At 39.1% G+C, this 19,359-nt stretch overlaps 2 protein-coding genes across 4 annotated transcripts in view, besides 2 other annotated features; one reads left to right on the forward strand and one right to left on the reverse strand.

The window, feature by feature from the left end:
* CCDC73 (coiled-coil domain containing 73) overlaps positions 1-390 on the reverse strand; it is a 227,865-nt gene extending 227,475 nt beyond the window's left edge. Inside the window, exon 1 of the mRNA XM_047427029.1 lies at positions 21-390. The gene's annotated coding sequence lies outside the window, so the exon portion shown is untranslated. The remainder of the gene's footprint in view (positions 1-20) is intronic.
* PRRG4 (proline rich and Gla domain 4) overlaps positions 1-19,359 on the forward strand; it is a 28,332-nt gene that overhangs the window by 407 nt on the left and 8,566 nt on the right. For 2 of the 3 annotated variants that reach the window (XM_006718314.4, NM_024081.6), the window contains exons 2-5: positions 313-437; positions 6,463-6,626; positions 8,687-8,735; positions 9,912-10,044. In XM_006718314.4, coding sequence (XP_006718377.1) covers positions 335-437; positions 6,463-6,626; positions 8,687-8,735; positions 9,912-10,044 — 449 coding nt within the window. In that variant the 5' untranslated portion in view covers positions 313-334. The remainder of the gene's footprint in view (positions 1-312; positions 438-6,462; positions 6,627-8,686; positions 8,736-9,911; positions 10,045-19,359) is intronic. The other variant, XM_006718313.4, reaches the window with a different exon arrangement.
* Positions 309-358: an enhancer, noted in NCBI's record as "active region_4566". NCBI's record gives its function as "activates an Ori minimal core promoter by ATAC-STARR-seq in GM12878 lymphoblastoid cells {active_cell/tissue: GM12878}" and the evidence as "EXISTENCE:reporter gene assay evidence [ECO:0000049][PMID:35858748]".
* Positions 369-428: an enhancer, noted in NCBI's record as "active region_4567". NCBI's record gives its function as "activates an Ori minimal core promoter by ATAC-STARR-seq in GM12878 lymphoblastoid cells {active_cell/tissue: GM12878}" and the evidence as "EXISTENCE:reporter gene assay evidence [ECO:0000049][PMID:35858748]".

A 19,359-nucleotide genomic window follows, 5' to 3' on the forward strand; every position in this document is an offset into this window, starting at 1 on the left:
CTCGGCGGGGAGGGGGTTACCTGGAAGGGGCCACCTCGGCGGACTGGGTTGGATTCGAACACATAGCGAGGGTTGCCCGCGGCGACAGGTGCCCGATCAGCCCTCGGCAGGGTCACTGGGCACGGCGTTTGTCCCAGGCGCTCTCAGGGGCTGCTTCCTGGGCGCGCGTCGGGTTCCGGCGACCGAAACCGCGCGCCGGGCGCTCTTGCGCCTAGGCTTTGAGTACAACAGGTTGGTGATTCAGTTCGACAGAAACTCAAAGTGCTGAGCTAGGGGCCTTTTTTTTTTAATATTTTTTTTTGTTTGTTTTAGTTTGTTTGACAGTTGCCAGACTATGTTTACGCTTCTGGTTCTACTCAGCCAACTGCCCACAGTTACCCTGGGGTTTCCTCATTGCGCAAGAGGTCCAAAGGCTTCTAAGCATGCGGGAGAAGAAGGTAAGCACTAAAACGTCCCTGGAACCCAGAGCCGCATAGCACAGATCTCAGTGAGAAAGTGCAGTATTTGAAATTACATACCCCCAGCAATCATAGAAACACTAAAATATCCTTTAGTTTAATTTGTGGCATATTTGGCAAGGTTGTGTTTTTTTATGTTCTTTAACTGCAATTTATAGAATTTGATGTCTGTGAGTCTCCTTTAATAAGTATATACGTAAGACCTAGTTTGTGGTTAATTGAATGGAAAACCTATTTCAGCTTCTGAAAATCAGTGAGTGACATTTCTCTAGATGAAGCTGTGTGGCGATTATAATAAGCATAATTACTTGTTCTTCCTGGAGAGGCGAACGGGGAGTCCAGGATCTAGTCTGGACTTGCGAGACCCTGGGCGAGATAACTTAATCCCGTTTGGCTTGAATGTCTTCATCTGTAAAAGTGATGCGGGTGGGGCGTAAAATGATCTCTGAGGTCCTTTTTGACTTCAGATGGTCTAGTTGTCTAGATAAAAGCAGCTAGTTGAGAAAAGATTAGGTTTGGGGCTTGCTAACCTGGAAGTCCACAGTTTTTAGGTTTCAGATCATTAACAGTTTGTTTCCTGCCTATATCTTAAAAGCCTAACCTAGTAAAACCAGAAGAAAAAAAAAGCCTCTGTCTCTCAGCATCCTTCTCCCTGACTATTCATGGTGCTTCCCCACTCAGTGTCAGTACTCTGGATCCACGTCCCCACACATTCCTGTCTCTTATCCCTTCTCATCAGATCCGATTCTCAGCTCATTTTCATTTGGGAAGGATCTGTTACACTAGTACTCCTAACTGACTTTATTAATGATTAATACAGCTGTGTTTGTGTGTGTTGAGCTAGAACAATCCATTAACCCAAAGGCGTGAAACTCTGATGACAGAATTCTAGCAACTGGATAGGCTAGCTAGAGAGAGAGGGAGAGATTTTGGAAGAGGATCCTTTTTAGTCCCTCTCAAGCTGCACCATATATGTAAGTCCACTTAGAAGGTTGCACTTATAAGGTTCCATAATCAGATGCTCTTCCCTAAAATGATTGTGAGTGCAATCATTCATTCACATGACACGGGTATAAGAGACACTCTCGCCGGCACGGTGGCTCACACCTGTAATCCTAGCACTTTGGGAGGCCGAGGCAGGTGGATCACCTGCGGTCAGGAGTTCGAGACCAGCCTGGCCAACATGGTGAAACCCCGTCTCTACTAAATATACAAAAATTAGCCTGGCTTGGTGGCACGTGCCTATAATCCCAGCTACCCGGGAGGCAGAGGCTGCAGTGAGCTGAGATCGTGCCACTGCACTCCAGCCTGGGCGACAGAGTGAGACTCCATCTCAAAAAATAAAAATAAAAGCAAATAAATAAATAAATAAATAAAAGACAGTCTCAAGGACACCACAAGCTATGGAAGGAATTTAGAGATCATACTTGAGTGTGGAGGGCTGGAGATGTCTGTGGAAATGTGAATGAGGGATCCGACACATTTGAAAAGACAACTTGTTCAGTCAGTCACCACTTGATGAACACATGCTAAGTGCCAGGCCCCGTGCTGTGTGGTGGAGACATAGAAATGAAAGACTGCAATCTCTGCCCTGGAGGACATCTTCATCTGTGTGGGAGGCAGGGTGTTTGTTAAACAGACGATCTCCATCAACTGTATAACAGAAGCCAGAACACAGAACTGAGAGCAGAGGAAAGAGTGAGTAGCAGTAACTCTGCCTCAAGAGAGTTGTATGGCAGAGAAGCCAATGCCTTCCATCTGCAAATGGGCTATAATAAATGGAGATATGAAAAGTAACTGGAAATAAAGGACCTTTGGTGAAATTCTTTTTTTTTTTTTTTTTTTCAGACAGAGTCTCGCTCTGTCTCCCAGGCTGGAGTGCAGTGGCGTGATCACGGCTCACTGCAACCTCCACCTCCTGGGTTCAAGCAATTCTCCTGCTTCAGCCTCCCGAGTAGCTGGGATTACAGGTGCGCACCACTGTCCCAGCTAATTTATTTTGTATTTTTAGTAGAGACGGGGTTTCACCATGTTAGCCAGGCTGGTCTTGAACTCCTGACCTCAGGTGATCCTCCCACCTCGGCCTCCCGAAGGGCTGGGATTACAGGCGTGAGCTACCGCGCCTGGCCCTAAAATCTGATAAAGCATGACGGTAGAGTTGAAATGACTGAAAAGGAGCTATTTAGAAAACATGAGGAGATAGAAGTGAGGAGAAGAACGGAATATCTGGGTTGGTGAATTTATAGCAGTGAAATGCATGGACAGCCTCTTAGGATAGTCTAAGACAGGAAAAATAGAGAAGGGTAGAGAATCTAAGGAAGCAGAGCCAAGGCCATTGCATCCTCCAGCCATGGTCAAGGGGAAAATAGGAGCTCTTGCTAAAAGCCAAGGGTGTTTCAAGGGCAGGGAAGTTTGCTTCCTTTCAATTAAAAGCAAGTTCAGGGTTACTTAGAATCCAGTAACAAAAGACAATATTTCTCCTGAGATCCTAAGGGATGCAGGGAAAAATTTGATCTGGCACCAAAAGTCAGTCAGTGACAGAATCAGAACTTGCACACTCAGGGAAGTGGCAAGCAGCAGCCCCTGGAAGGCGGATTTAATACAGTGTTAATCATAATAGCATGATTAATCATAAATATCATATTTATGATATTGGCATAAATATTATTTCAGGAAAAATAAAAATGTTTGTGGCTCTCCCTTTTTCTGTTTCCTCTATCAAAGTAGCTTTTGAGTTCCATGGGGTTGTATTTTTAATAACTCAACCTACTGGAACAGAAGACTGTCATGAGAAATTTGGCACTGCTCTTTTTAGCCAATAAAATGTAAGGATCTGGACATATTTGAGAAGTATACAGAGGCAGATATCTAATTCTCCATTCTGAACTTAGATTTCATGCAGTAAGTATAGCTAAGTGAGGCAGGCTATGGGTTGCTTAATCAATAGTTTTATACTTTAAACCTATGCCGAGCTGAGAAACACCAGACTATACCTATGAATTGCTTCAACTGGTAGACTTTAGGTCCAAGAGTTTCCTCCCACTATAGCAAAGTTGAGTTTGTTCATTCAGTCAGTAATTTTTTGAGCACCTCTTATGGGCCAAGAACCAACATCCCTGCTTTAATGGAGCTTTTCTTCTAGTGAGGAGAACAGAGTGGTAACAAATAAGTAAAGCATATAGAAAACCAGATGGTGATGAGTACTATGGAGAAAGGCAGAGTGTGGACAGGGAGTGCCAGGGGTGGGTAGGGATGGGGTTTCAAGGTAGCATTGAACAAAATCCTGAAGGATGTGAGAGAGCAAACTGAAAGAAGAAAGTTCTGTTCAGAAGAAACAGTAAGTACAAAGGCCAGAGAGAACCAGGTGTGTTGGAAGCCAGCATAGCTACAACAGAATACGTGAGGGATAGTGGTGGGAGATGAGGTTAGAGAGGTAAGGGCTTGGGGACCAGACAGAGAAGGGCCTTGTAAGCCACTGTAATGACTTTGGCTCTTACTCTGCAGGGGGTGGAATTGCTGTTAGAAGGTTTTTAAAAAGCAAAGTAGGAACAGTCTATCTTGTCTTTTAAAGGGCCCTCTTTGGCTGTTATGTTAAAAACAGATGGTAGAGCAGCAAGGAGACCCATGGAAGACCATTGTAGGAATCCCAGTGAGGGGTGATGGAGGCTTGGAAAATTTTTCATTCTATGTCCATTTGGTGGTAATATAAAATCTACAAGAAGACAAAGGAGGAAACAGAATAGAAATATTTCATCACACTAGCCCCTCTATCTACCTTTTAGAATACTTTTTAAAACAACTATCACCAATTATCCCATTGTAGCTTCCTGCTTGGTTCAAATAGCCCCTATCTATTATTTATAATATAGAAATGGACACTGTAGAATATTGCTGCTCCCCCAAAATATAATGTGAACTACATACATAATTTAAATTTTTCTAATAGCCACATTTTAAAACTAAAAAGTAATAGGTGAAATTAATTTTAAGAATGTATTTAATTTAATCTTGTGTCTGAAATATCACCATTTTAAAATATAAGCAATATAAAACATTATGGAGACATTTCACATTCTTTTTTTTTTTAACACCAAGTCTTTGAAATCCTTGTGTGTATTTTACACTTACAGCACATTTCAATTCAGACAAGTCACATTTCTTGTTTATTTATTTATTTAGAGATAGGATCTTGCTCTGTCACCCAAGCTGGAGGGCAGTGACATGATCTCAGCTCACTGCAACCTCTGCCTCCTGGCCTCAAGTGATCCTCCCACCTCAGCCTCTCGAGTAGCTGGAACTACAGGCGTGCACCACCACACCGGGCTAATTTTTGTATTTTTTGTAGAGACGGGGTTTCATCTTGTTGCCCAGGCTGGTCTCCAACTCCTAGGCTCAAGCGATCCACCTGCCTCAGCCTGCTGGGATTACAGGCATGAGCCACTACTCCCAGCCACAAGCTACATTTCAAGTGCTCAATAGCCATCTGTGGCTAATGGCTACCATATTAGACAAAATAGTTTTAGAACATTCAGACCTGTTTGGAAAGATAATTCATTTGTGGAAAAAATATCTTGGACAAAATGTGACTGTTCTCAAAGGGCCAAAAATAAATGTACAACTTGAGGTCACTCAAAAATCAGTATGAGTTTTCCAGACCATGATCTCTCATGAACAGTCTTTCAATTGCCTACTTTAATACATTCTTTCTTTAGAAATGGTGAGCAGTGAAAAGTATCCGCACTTTTAAATTCTTTTAAGCATTGTGATGTAGTTCTCAGTTTCTGAATTCCAGTCTCAGTAATATGATCTGAAGCAAAATCTCTTAAGCTTTGTTTGTGTGACACCAGAACAAGTTTAAAGTTTGTGGGTTTTGAAAATACTACCATGGTTGGATGCTTTGGTTTTGTGTCAGCCTGTTCTTAACCTGTAGTGTTTACCATTTACCTTCCCGTCAAATGTAAAGGGAACCTTATAAAACATTATAGACACGTATTTGGGGTGTACCGTAGAGGGAGCTGCTACTTTGGAAAGGACTAAATGTCTTTAGTTAAATCTTATAATTAGCTTATAGTTTTATTAATTTAGAAGTTTAGAATTTTATAAGTTTTAGCATAAACTTGAATACAGCAATTTTAATATAAAAGTATTAATTTGTAATTTAAGAACTTGGCCAGGCACGGTGGCTTACACCTGTAATCCCAGCACTTTGGGAGGCTCAGGTGGGTGGATCATGAGGTCAGGAGTTCAAGACCAGCCTGGCCAAAATAGTGAAACCTCATATCTACTAAAAATACAAAAATTAGCTGGGCGTGGTGGCACGTGCCTGTAGTCCCAGCTACTTGGGAGGCTGAGGCAAGAGAATCACTTGAACCCAGGAGGCGGAGATTGCAGTGAGCTGAGACTGTGCCATTGCACTCCAGGCCCGGTGACAGAGTGAGGCCCCCTCTCAAAAATAATAATAATAATAATAATTAATAACTTAAAGAGATCTTAGTGATTATTTAATTCCCAATTTTATAAATTAGGAAATGGCAGCCCAAAGAATATAAGTGACTTATCTCAGAATACACACCTGATAACTTAAGCTAAATCAGAACAAAAAGCTGTCTTCTAACTCTCAGTTCAATATGTTGTCCATGATGCCCCACTAATTTTTCTCAGTCAAGATAATAGGGAACCAATTCTTTAGAAACAGACCTGTCAATTGTTGGAAAAATAATTATCTGGAGGGAAAAGAGATATTTAAATAATTTTTACTTATACTATTAATTTTGGACATAATCAACTCCAGTGGAATTATGCTAACTTTGTATTTCACATTTATCAGAAATTATCTTCACTGATGCTTTTTCTTTCTTTTTTTGGGTTAGATTTTAAAACTTTACAAAAAAGTTTGGTATAATTTAGCCACATCAAGAGAACTATTCACTTTTTTCCACAATTAAAACAGGAATTTTTTGACTATATTTGATCAATGTTTAAGTCTTTTTCATTACTTTATTAGTGTTTACATCAAAAGAAGAAGCAAACTTTTTCATACATAGACGCCTTCTGTATAATAGATTTGATCTGGAGCTCTTCACTCCCGGCAACCTAGAAAGAGAGTGCAATGAAGAACTTTGCAATTATGAGGAAGCCAGAGAGATTTTTGTGGATGAAGATAAAACGGTAATGTGGTTGATTATGTTAATTGGCTGGAAATGTTAAATTGTACTTAAGAAAGTGGCACTTTCAGTTATTAGAGATTTTATGCCTTAAACACAATCAGGATTATGTACCTGCTATCTCTTTCTACTTCCTTAAAATGGTAATTAACCTATTTAGACTTGGCTTTACACCTAATTAACTGGTTTCATAGTAGTTAGTAAATTATTGACTGTTGTGATTTTGTGTGTTTAATGTTTATTATATTTAAAAGTAATCATGGGGCAGAGTGAATTTAACTCCAAGATTTTGTGGTTAGTGCTCTAACTCAGGCTTCAATCATTTATGGCGGAGTGAATTTAACTCCAAGATTTTATGGTTAGTGCTCTAACTCAGGCTTCAATCATTTATGACTGAGTAATTTGTCCTATCGGTGACCTTACCTTTTTTGATGACCCATATTTGTATTTCAAGTATTTACTGGAAGTCTGCTATGTGCCAGGTATTCTCCTTGAACCTGAGGATACAAAACATATAGCCCTTGTATTCGGAAGTATATTATTTGGTCTATCAGTGTAATTTGAGGGAAACATTTTTAAAAGTTCTTTCTTAGAATATAACTAAATTCTGTTAATCTTGATAAGGTACAAAACAGATGGCATTGTGCCTGTGATAATCTGGCATAGTCTTGAAAAATGTTAACTAACTGAGATGATGATGATGATGATGATGATGATGATGATGATTATTATTATTATTATTATTATTATTATTATTATTATTATCTGGAGACGGAGTCGCCCAGGCTGGAGTGCAGTGGAGCAATCTCGGCTCACTGCAACCTCCACCTCCCGGGTTCAAGCCATTCTCCTGCCTCAGCCTCCCAAGCAGCTGGGACTACAGGCACATGCCACCACGCCTGGCTAATTTTTTGTATTTTAGTAGAGACAGGGTTTCACCATGTTGCCCAGGCTGGTCTCAAACACCTGAGCTCAGGCAGTCCATCTCCATCGGCCTAACAAAGTGCTAGGATTACAGGCATGAGCCACCATGCCTGGCCCTAAATTCTTTACTTTTGTAGATTTCATAACCCTAGCTCCTTTTTCCCTTTCTTAAGAGTCCTATTTTACTTTTTGTTCAATAAGAACCTCCCCAGGTATCCTTCCCTACAAGTATTTGCTGTTTCTATTAAGGAGGAAAACGAAGCATATACTGTGTAGTTGTGTCTGTTGGAATTTTATTCTGTTTTTCACAAATCTTTTATAATTTTATCATAGTTCCTTAAAATTCATTTCTATTCTCTCAAGTAGCACTGAACTTAAAATTGTCTCAACAATGTCTTCCCAAATCAATAAATACCTTTCAATAAGATCTCCCAGAAGGGCACAGTGGCTCATGCTTGTAATCCCAGCACTTTGCGGGGCAGAGGTGGGAGGATTACTTGAGCCCAGGAGTTCAAGACCAGCCTGGGCTTCACGATGAAACTCCATCTCTGCAAAAAAGAAAAAATTACCTGGGCGTGGTGTCAGGCGCCTGTAGTTCCAGCTACTCGGGAGGCTGAGGTGGGAGGATCGTTTGAGCCTGGAAGGTCAAGGCTGCAGTGAGCCATGATCACACCACTGCACTCCAGCTTGGGCAACAGAGTAATCCTGTCCGGAAAAAAAAAAAAATCTCCTGAGACAAACTGAGGGCTTACCTCCCATAGAAAACTTCAGTCTCCTGTTCAATCATGATAGTGGGTCCACAGCCTCAACTTCTACCTTTGGTACTTTCACCTACTCTCTAATGCAATAATTTCCCCCAATGCTTTAGTGGGGGCTCCAGTCAGGTGAAGGGAAAATAGTAGGCACAGTAGTAAAGAGCTGGGACTGGCAGTAATCCCTTGACAATTAGAGAGATGGCAGAGGCAGCTGTGGGTGGTAGTGATTTAATTAGAGTGAGTCACACCCTCCAGCTTGAATGAACTGGTCTCCTACCTATGGTGCATGCCAAGAGTTTACTACCCCTAGTCTAGGTCATTAGGACCAAATGAAATGTGATAATAAAGATATTGAATAAACTTGGGAATTTTACCTTTTTTTTAGATTGCATTTTGGCAGGAATATTCAGCTAAAGGACCAACCACAAAATCAGGTAAAACAAGAATTGATCAAATTTAATGCTTTTCTCATCCTCTCTCTGTTGTAATACATTTTAGTTTTATTGTTTGAGTTTGGTTGTTGCGCAACATACATACCTTATAAATCCAAGGAGATTTCTCAACTATGCACCGGGCTATCTCAGACAGAAAAGGACAGATTCATCTATTTAATACACTGAAAATCAAGTTTGGTGAGATACTAGGAAAATGAGATAATGGGCTTAAAGCTGTTTTAAACAGCTCAGCTAAGTCAAGACTTGCACAGAATAAAAGCAGATTCTATTCATTTCAAGATGTAAGCTATTTTAACTTTTTTTCTTTTTTACCATTAAAGGCAGATGGAACATTTATGCTAGATAAATTAAGATTGTTGGATCGAATTAAGTAACTTGTAGAGAGGGGAGATCTTTATCTCATCTGTATTGATCATCTCTAGCTGCATTTTAGTCAGGTGTTTTTTTCGCCAGCTATTCTTTCATTCCTCTTAGGTAGGGCCCCCTCCATGGCAGGTTATGTTGCATAGCTACCCTGAGTTGCTTAATAAATATTATCTCAGTGGTTAATACCAAAGTATGTCTAGTTGAGCAGTGAATATGTTTATCCCACTTAATGCTGAATATTATCCATTTAATAAATGGATATTTCAAATATTTTTAAATAAATAATTTTTAAATAAATAAATTTAAATAACAAAATATTTTGAATATTATTAAAATATAAGTATTATATTTTGAATATTATTAAAATATAAGTATTATATTTTGAATATTATTAAAATATAAATATATTTTGAATATTATTAAAATATAGATATATTTTGAATATTATTAAAATATAAATATATTTTGAATACTATTAAAATATAAATAGTATATTTTAAATATTATTAAAATATAAGTAGTATATTTTAAATATTTAAAAAATATATATATTTTAAATAAATAAATATATTTATATTTTAATAAATAAAAGAATAACCATAACTAGGGCTATTAGAAGTGTCATTTAAATTTTTTTCAGGTAGATTCTCTAGCACAAAGACTTGAAAGAAGTCAACATCAATGATTAGATGCTGTATAATGTGTTTAGAACCAGGATTAAATTTGTTGAAATCATAGGTGATGCTATATAGTTGTTATATTTATGTTATTTTAATGATTTATTTTAAGATGGCAACAGAGAGAAAATAGATGTTATGGGCCTTCTGACTGGATTAATTGCTGCTGGAGTATTTTTGGTTATTTTTGGATTACTTGGCTACTATCTTTGTATCACTAAGTGTAATAGGCTACAACATCCATGGTAAGTACTAAGTGAAATTATTTAATTCATCACTAGACATTCTATATTATTATTTTAACAATGGGTCAAGCAAATGGCTGCCTATTTTCTTAAATAAGCCTTTTATTTTGGAAGAATTTTAGATGTATAGGGAAGTTGCAAAGGTTAATACAGAGAGTTCCCACATATCCATCACCCAATTTCCCACATTGTTAATATCTTGTATTACCATAGTAGATTTATCAAAACTAAGAAAATGACATTGGTTCATGACTATTAACTAAACTCCAGACTTTGATTTCAGCAGTTTTCCCACTGGTGTTTTCCTTCTGCTGCAGGATCCAGTCAAGTTACCACATTGCATTTAGCTGTCATGTCTTCCCAGTCTGTGGCAATTGTCTGGTCTCCTAATTTAACATTTACATAAACAACCTAATGATGCTATTTCTAAGGTCCTTCGAAAGAATACAAGAAGTTTCACATAGGTCAGCTTCATTTTTCAGTATTTCCTTCTTAAGCAAGAGGCAGATACCAGTGTCTTCACATTATTTCCAGAGGCAAGAAGTCCTATAGTTTACGCTGAGTCACAGAGTTAACAGATCCACATGGCTACCCAAATAGAAACAGTGTAACTGGCTTTTAAATTCAACTATTTTTATTAACACTTTAAATTGAAGTTAATAAAATAAAATGCTTACCAATTGAGGATAATAGCACATTGATAAAGCTTCAGAAAGATTCATAAAGGCCATAATTGTTTGCATAATAGAAGCTCAGCATCCCTATTGAAATAAAAAGTACTGATTATCTTCCCAGTAAGTATGGCTGAGTAGGCGTAGAAACAATCTTATTAAAAAAAAAAAAAGCAGCAGATGCTAAACAGGCTATTAGAAATTGATACTTATTTATCACTATTCACACTTTCAAATTCTATGAACAAGCTCAAGGTGGCGATCATGTTACTTTCTTTTATGATAACGATCATTTTACTTATCTTTTCAGCAAAATGGGCAGTGTTTTTGTATCCCTCCAAAAGAATAGAAAGTATTCTTTATCATATATATTAGAAGACTCTTTGTCTTCTAAATTAATAATAGCTTTCAATTCATATCAAGTAAACTTTAAATTTTACATAACAATTGACCTATATTGTTCAAAAAATGTCAGTGTCATGAAAGACAAAGACAGGCTAAAGAAATAACTGTTCCAAATTAAAGTAAATGACATGACAATTAATGCAATGTGTGATCCTGGACTGAATCCTAGACCAAAAAAATGAATTGCTAAAAAGGAAAATTTGCCTGGCATGGTGGCTCACACCTATAATCCCAGCACTTTGGGAGGCCAAGGTGAGAGGATCACTTGAGGCCAGGAGTTCAAGACTCAAGACCATCCTGGGCCACATAGTGAGACTCCTATCTCTATAAAAAAAAATTCAAAAATTAGCTGGGCACGGTGGCCTGAGGCTGTAGTCTCATCTGCTTGTGGGGCTGAGGTGGGAGGATCATCTGAGCCTAGGAAGTCAAGGCTGGAGTGAGCCATAATTGCACCACTGCACTCCAGCCTGGACAACAACAACAACAACAAAAAGGAAAATTTAGGAGAAAATTTGGATATAGCTACATGTTAGATAATAGTAATGAACCAATGTTAAGTATTCCAAATTTATGTGAAGATCTTTTCAAAATACTTAATTCTGTAGTGGTTCTAAAATTCTATTGGCAGTCAGTAAAAAACAGAAGATAATTACAACAACATGGCATCAAAAATTATTTTTAATTGGTTAAATATTTAGAGTTTTTGTCCATTTTAAAAGAGGATTGTACAACTATTCAAGTCTAAATACAATATAAAAATAGGCCTATAAGAAACTGGAAGACTTTAATCACAACTGTTTAATTGGTTTAAAGTTTTTCTTCATTGTTTCATATCCAGATATAAAATGAAAATAGAATGACATGTATAGGAAGGGCACCAAACTAGGAATTTGGAGGCAAAAATTCTCATGTTAATTTTGCCACTATTTATGGAGCTTGAAGCAAATTCCTTGATTTTTTTAAGATCTTTCCTCATCTAAAAGAGGAATGAAAGGAATAGACTGTGATTCCTCTTAAAGTTCCTTAATATTTTTTTATTTTGCCAAAGATGAGAACAAATTTTTTGCCCTTGATTATATTGTCAGAATTAGAGTTTTTAAAGTTATTTATTAAAAAGAAGCTTGGCTGGGAGCAGTGGCTCACACCTGTAATCCCAGCATTTTGGAAGGCCAAGCCGGGCAGATCACCTGAGGTCAGGAGTTCAAGACCAGCCTGACCAACAAGGAGAAACCCCGTCTCTACTAAAAATACAAAATTAGCCAGGCGTGGTGGCACATGCCTGTAATCCCAGCTACTCGGGAGGCTGAGGCAGGAGAATCACTTGAACCCAGGAGGCAGAGGTTGTGGTGAGCCGAGATCAAGCCATTGCACTCTAGCCTAGGCAGCGAGAGTGAAACTCTGTCTCAAAACATTAATTAATTAATTAAAAACTAAAAAGAAGCTTTTACATATATACACATGTAAATGAAATTAGTAAATATAAAAGATACATTTTCCTCTAAAATTTAATAAAAATATTTTCTCTTGAAGAAAGTGTATTATTATTATTATTTAGAGATGGAGTCTTGCTCTGTTGCCCAGGCTGGAGTGCAATGGTGTGATCTCGGCTCACTGCAACCTCTGCCTCCTGGGTTCAAGCAATTCCCCTGCCTCAGTCTCCTGAGTAGCTAGGATTACAGGCGTGTGCCACCACACCCAGCTAATTTTTGTAGAGACGGGGTTTCACCATGTTGGCCAGGCTAGTCTCCAACTCCTGGCTTCAAGTGATCCATCTGCTTCGGCCTCCCAAAGTTTTCGGATTACAGGCATGAGCCACCGTGCCCAGCCAGAAGAAAGTTTAAAGTAGGTTGTTTCATTTCATCTGGTGTTAATTGCTTAAAAAATCATTTCCATTGTGATAAGAGCATCTGAAAATGTGCTGATTATGGAGGCTGAGGTCTTTAAAAAGATTTTATCCTGTTTTTTGCCTACAAAAGTAATACATGCATTATTTTAAAATTCAAATATTATAGAAAGGTATAATATAAAAAATGAAAGTCCTCATAATCCTACTTTTCAAAAATAACCACTATTATGAATTTGGTATGTAAAACTCCAGATTTTTTTCTATGCATATACTATTCAGTTGGTGCAAAAGCAATTGCGGTTTTTGCCATTTAAAGTACTGGCAATTGCTTTTGCACCAACCTAATAACATATTTTATGTTTTCAAAAGAAATGTTCGTTACATGTCCTCCTCTGCAACTTGCCTTTGGCACTGAACAATATAATTTAAATATATTTCCAGTGCAGTACATTTTTAAAAAATAGTAAAATATATGTAACATAAAATTTACCATCTTAACCGTTTTTAAGTATACAGTTCAGTAGTATTAAGTTGATTCACTGTTGTGCAACCAATCTCCCGTTTTTCTGTTTTTTTTTTTTTTATTTTGCAACAGTGAAGTTCTGTGCCCAGTGAACAAACTGTTTCCCATTCTCCCCTCTCCCTAGGCTTTAGCAACCACTATTTTACCTTTTGTCTCTGAATTTTACTACAATAACACCTCATGTAAGTGGAATCATACAGTATTAGTCTATTTTTGACTGGCTTATCTAGCGCAGTAATTTTAAATCATTAATAGAGTCTCTTCAAAATGTTTTATTACAGCATTTCATTTATGTTTGATGAAGTTTTTTTAAATTCTAAAATATAGTAAGATGTGATTCCTTTCTAAAATACATTAGTCCTAGCCCAGCTCCTGTTTCTGGAAGAGACCACCAAGGTGTATTCTCCCTATCCTAGAAATAGATATGGTATAGTGGTTCACTGTGTGAGCTCTGGAGCCAGACTGCCTGGATTCAAAACCCTGGTACGCCACTAACTAGCCGTTTGACTTTGGAAATGTTACTTAAACTTATACTCTGCCTCAGTTTCTCTGTGAGTAAATTGAAGGTAATAATCTGAGCCACCACACTACATAGTTCCAGAGAGTTGCCATTCACATGGGCTACTGTATGAATGGTACCCTCTGGTTTGTGTAGTATGGTAGCTCAGATAATAACTGTATGTATGTCATAAGGGACTTACAGGATTTAAATGACGTGATACACAAAAAGTACTTAAGAGAGTGCTTGGTAGCAAGAGTAGCAAGTACTCAATAAATGTTAGCTATTATTATTATTATTATTATTATTATTATTATTATTATTATTATTATTTTGAGACGGAGTCTAGCTCTGTTACCCAGGCTGGAGTACAGTGGCATGATCTCGGCTCACTGCAACCTCTGCCTCCTGGGTTCAAGCGATTCTCCTGCCTCAGCCTCCCAAGTAGCTGAGATTACAGGCATCTGCCACCATGCCCAGCTAATTTTTGTATTTTTAGTAGAGACGAGGTTTCACCATGTTGGCCAGGCTGGACTTGAACTCCTGACCTCAAGTAATCCTCGTGCCTTGGCCTCCCAAAGTGCTGGGATTACAGGCATGAGCCACTGCACCCGGCCCAGCTATTATTATTATGAATTTGCAAACTAAGATTTTTCTAAAAAGCTTTCACTGGAATGTTTATGTATTCCCATCCAATATTTGTATTTCTTTAAAAATATGTCTAGACTGTAAATGAACTGCAGATTCTCCAGTGTTCATATAAAATTAAAACATATTATCAGAAGGTAATATAGATAGTATAATCAGAAAGTATTATATTGCAAATAAGTTTTCTTCAAATTTGGTAGATCTACAAAAATTTTATTTGGCCTATGAAATCTCCCTAGCTTACCTGACCTTTATGATCTTGTAAAAAAAATAAAAATAAAAATAAAAAAAATCTCCCTTAGCTGTATTTATAACCATCTTCCACATCACCTGCTGTTGCTAACCATATACTGTACACCACTTTCACACTACCTTCTCATTTAGTACTCTCAGTATTTGTATAGTGTATTATGGCACATAAAGGAGATTACATGGAGTGATTACCATTTGAGTGAGGCAACTACATAACAAAAAAGCAACTTGGATATAAACTTGTAAGATAGAGAACACTCGGCTGGGTGCGGTGGCTCACGTCTGTAATCCCAGCACTTTGGGAGGCCGAGACGGGCGGATCACGAAGTCAGGAGATCGAGACCATCCTGGCTAAAACGGTGAAACCCCGTCTCTCCTAAAAATAAAAATAAAAAAAAATCAGCCGGGCGTGATGGCGGGTGCCTGTAGTCCCAGCTACTTGGGAGGCTGAGGCAGGAGAGTGGCGTGAACCCGGGAGCTTGCAGTGAGCTGAGATTGTGCCACTGCACTCCAGCCTGGGCAACAGAGCAAGACTCCGTTTCAAAAAAAAAAAAAAAGATAACACTGTTCTTATAAATGGCTAGGAATGTCAAGTCAAGCAGGCATACCATCAGTGTGGGATACAACTAGTCACTTTGGCGGACATGGGTTTTAGAGGAATTAACTAGGAAGGGGTGTTTCAAGAAAGTGGACCCACAGGAGCAAAGACAGGTACTACCAAGGCTCATATAGGAGATGATAAGCAAAATAGTCTTGACCAAAGATTTTTTAAAAAAATAATTGTAAGCCAAGGCCAGGCACGGTGGCTCATGCCTGTAGTCCCAGCTTTGGGAAGCCGAGGCAGGAAAATCACTTGAGCCCACGAGTTTGAGATCAGCCTGGGCAACATGATAAAACCCCATCTCTACTAAAAATACAAAAAAAATTAGCCAGGTGTGGTGGTGTGTGCCTTTATACCCAACTACTAGGCGGGCTTAGGTGGGAGGAGCACCTGAGCCCAGGAAGTGGAGGCTACTGTGAGCCGTGATCATGCCATTACACTCCAGCCTGGACAATGGGAGAGAGACCCTGTCTTAATAATAAAAAATAATAATAATAATAATAATTGTAGAGACAGGATCTCACTATGTTGCCCAGGCTGATCTGGAACTCCTGGCCTCAGGCAATCTTCCTGCCTCTGCCTCTCAAAGTGCTAGGATTACAGGCATGAGCCATGGGGCCAAGCCCTTGACCAGAGATTTAAGACCTGTGATGAAGAGTAGTGAGTGACTTGGGAAATGTTGTATAATTGGAATGGCAGCCACGAATTTACATTTGAGTTGCCAGACATGAGGTGGACCACTTAAGCAGAGGATTAAAAGGAAAAATAGCCTTTGGGGAAGGTTTTTGAGAATGTGGTAATATACTAGGTTCTAGGAACACAGCGGTGAGTAAAACAAGCATAGTGTCTGCCCCCATGGCTCTTATAGTCTGGTTTTCTTAAGTAATGTGTACTAGAGCTGGGAGAAACAGGAAGACAGAGGAAAACCAACAAGGATGCTAGCATGGCAATTCAGATGTGAGGTAATGAGTTTGAACCTGTCTTCAAGGAAAAAGAAGTCGTAGAACTTGATGCCTGATTAGAAAGAACTTGGGGCCACACGCGGTGGCTCATGCCTGTAATCCCAGCACTTTAGGAGGCCGAGGCAGGCGGATCACGAGGTCAAGAGATTGAGACCATCCTGGCCAACACGGTGAAACCCCGTGTCTACTAAAAATACAAAAATTAGCTGGACATGGTGGCACACACATATAGTCCCAGCTACTCGGGAGGCTGAGGCAGGAGAATTGCTTGAACCTGGGAGGCAGAGGTTGCAGTGAGCCGAGATCCCGCCACTGCACTCCAGCCTGGCAACAGAACGAGACTCTGTCTCAAAAAAAAAAATAAAGAAAGAACTTGGGAATGTTGGAACAATATGACTTGAACCTAAGCTTCTGTGCTGAAGAAATATATGTATGGAAGCTGGGAGCAAGAAAACAAAATTTGGATTTGACAGGACAAAATGGTTCATATTTTATTTATTTATTTTTTTTGAGACAGAGTTTCGCTCTTGTTGCCCAGGCTGGAGTGCAATGGCAAATTACAGGTGTGAGCCACTGCACCCGGCCAAAATAGTTTATATTTTAAAGATAGCTCAAGAAAGGATAAAACAACAAAGAGACTAATAACCCACGTTTTTTTTAGTGAAGGACTTGAATGGACATTTCTCTAAAAATATATGAATGGCCAACAAGCACTTGAAAGGTGTTCAATGTTGTTAGATATTAAGGAAAGGGAAATTAAATCAAAACCACAGTGAGAGCCAGGTGCAGTGGCATGCACCTGTAATTCCAGCTATTCTAGAATAGCTGGAATAATAATTTTTAAAATAACAAGTATTGGCGAGGATATGGAGAAATTGGAACCTCATATTCACATTGCCAGTAGGAATGTAAAACGGTACAGCCACTGTGGAAAAGTTTGACAGTTCCTCAGAAAGTTAAATGTAGAATTACTGTATGACCCAGCAGTTTCACTTCTAGATTTGTATCCAAAAGCATTGAAAACAGGAACTCAAACAGATACTTGTACACCAATGTCCATAGTAGCATTATTCAAATAACCAAAGGGTTGATGGAAATAGCCCAAGTGTCCATCAAAATGTGGTATATCCATGCAATGAAATATTATTCAGCCATAAAAAATAATGAAGTTCTGATACGTGCTACAATATGGATGAACCCTGAAAACATGATACCAAGTGAAAGAAGCCAGACACAAAAGAACAACTGTTGTATGATTCCACTTATATGTAATGCCTAGGATAGGCAAGATCTAGGATAGGCAAATTCACAGAGACAAAAAGTAGATTAGAGATTACCTTGGGCTGGGAGGATAGGGATGTCTTAGTTTATTTGTGCTGCTATAGCAGAATACTTGAGACTGGGTAATTTATAAGGAACAGAAATTTATCTCTTGTAGTTCTGGAGGCTGGGAAGTCTAAGATCAAGGGACCAGCAGGTTGTATGTCTCATAAGGACCCAGTCTCTGCTTCCAAGATGGTGCCTTGAACACTGCATCCTCTAGAGGGGAGGAACATTATTCCTCACATGGCAGAAGAGCAGAAGAAAGAGAGGGCACTACTCCTGCAACCCCTTCTTATAGCAGCATTAATTCATTTATGAGGGCAGGACCCTCATGACCTAAAAGCCTCCCAAAAGGCCCCACCTCCTAATACTGTTGCATTGAGGATTAAGTTTCAACATGAGTTTTGAGCGGGGCAAAAACATTCAAATCATAGCAAGGGGAATGGGGAGTTATTGTTTCTTATGTACAGAGTTTCTGTTTGGGTGATGAAAGGGTTATGGAAATAGATAATGGAAATAGTTGCACCTTGTGAGTGGAATTAATACCACTGAAATGTATACTTATGAATGATTAAAATGGAAAATTTAATGTTTTATATATTATATGTAATGTTATATATTGTATATAATATGTGTATATGTATACATATATATATATATGTACATACCAGCCACAAAGTCTTTTTACTTGGAAAACAAAAAAAGAAAGGGTAAGAATTTGGCCAGGGGTGGTGGCTCATGCCTGTAATCCCAGAACTTTGGGAGGCCGAGGCAGGCAGATCACCTGAGGTCAGGAGTTCAAGACCTGCCTAGCCAACATGGTGAAATCCCACCTCTACTAAAAATACAAAAATTAGCTGGGCATGATGGCAGGTGCCTGTAATCCCAGCTACTCGGGAGGCTGTGGCAGGAGAATCACTCAAACTAGGGAGGTGGAGGCTGCAGTGAGCCGAGATGGCTCCATTGCACTCCAGCCTGGGCAACATAGTGAGACTCTGTCTTAAAAAAAAAAAAAAGAATTTAAGGCAACAGGTGTGAAATTAAGATTCACCTATTGGAAGATTAAAGGTGAAGTCATGAGGGTAGGTAAGTTCTCTAAGTGTAATAAAGGAGCTGGACACAGTGTCTCACGCCTATAATCCTAGTACTTTGGGAGTCCGAGGCACATGGATGGCTTGAGCCCAGGAGTTCAAGATCAGCCTGGGCAAGATGGTGAAACCCCATCTTTACCAACACAAAAAATAGCCTAGTATGGTGGTGCATGCCTGTAGTCCCAGCTACTTGGAAGGCTGAGGTGCGAGAATTGATTGAGCCGGGGAGATTGAAGTTGCAGTGAGCCAAGATCACGCCACCACACTACAGCCTGGGTGGCAGAGCAAGACCCTTTCTCAAAAAATAAAATAAAATAAAGTTGGCCGGGCATGGTGGCTCATGCCTGTAATCCCAGCACTTTGGGAGGCCGAGACGGGCAGATCACGAGGTCAGGAGTTCGAGACCAGCCTGACCAACATAGTGAAACCCCGTCTCTACTAAAAATACAAAAAATTAGCCAGGCGTGGTGGTGCGCGCCTGTAATCCCAGCTAC

This window comes from Homo sapiens, chromosome 11, assembly GCF_000001405.40.
Source record: "Homo sapiens chromosome 11, GRCh38.p14 Primary Assembly".
NCBI classification, from domain to species: domain Eukaryota; kingdom Metazoa; phylum Chordata; class Mammalia; order Primates; family Hominidae; genus Homo; species Homo sapiens.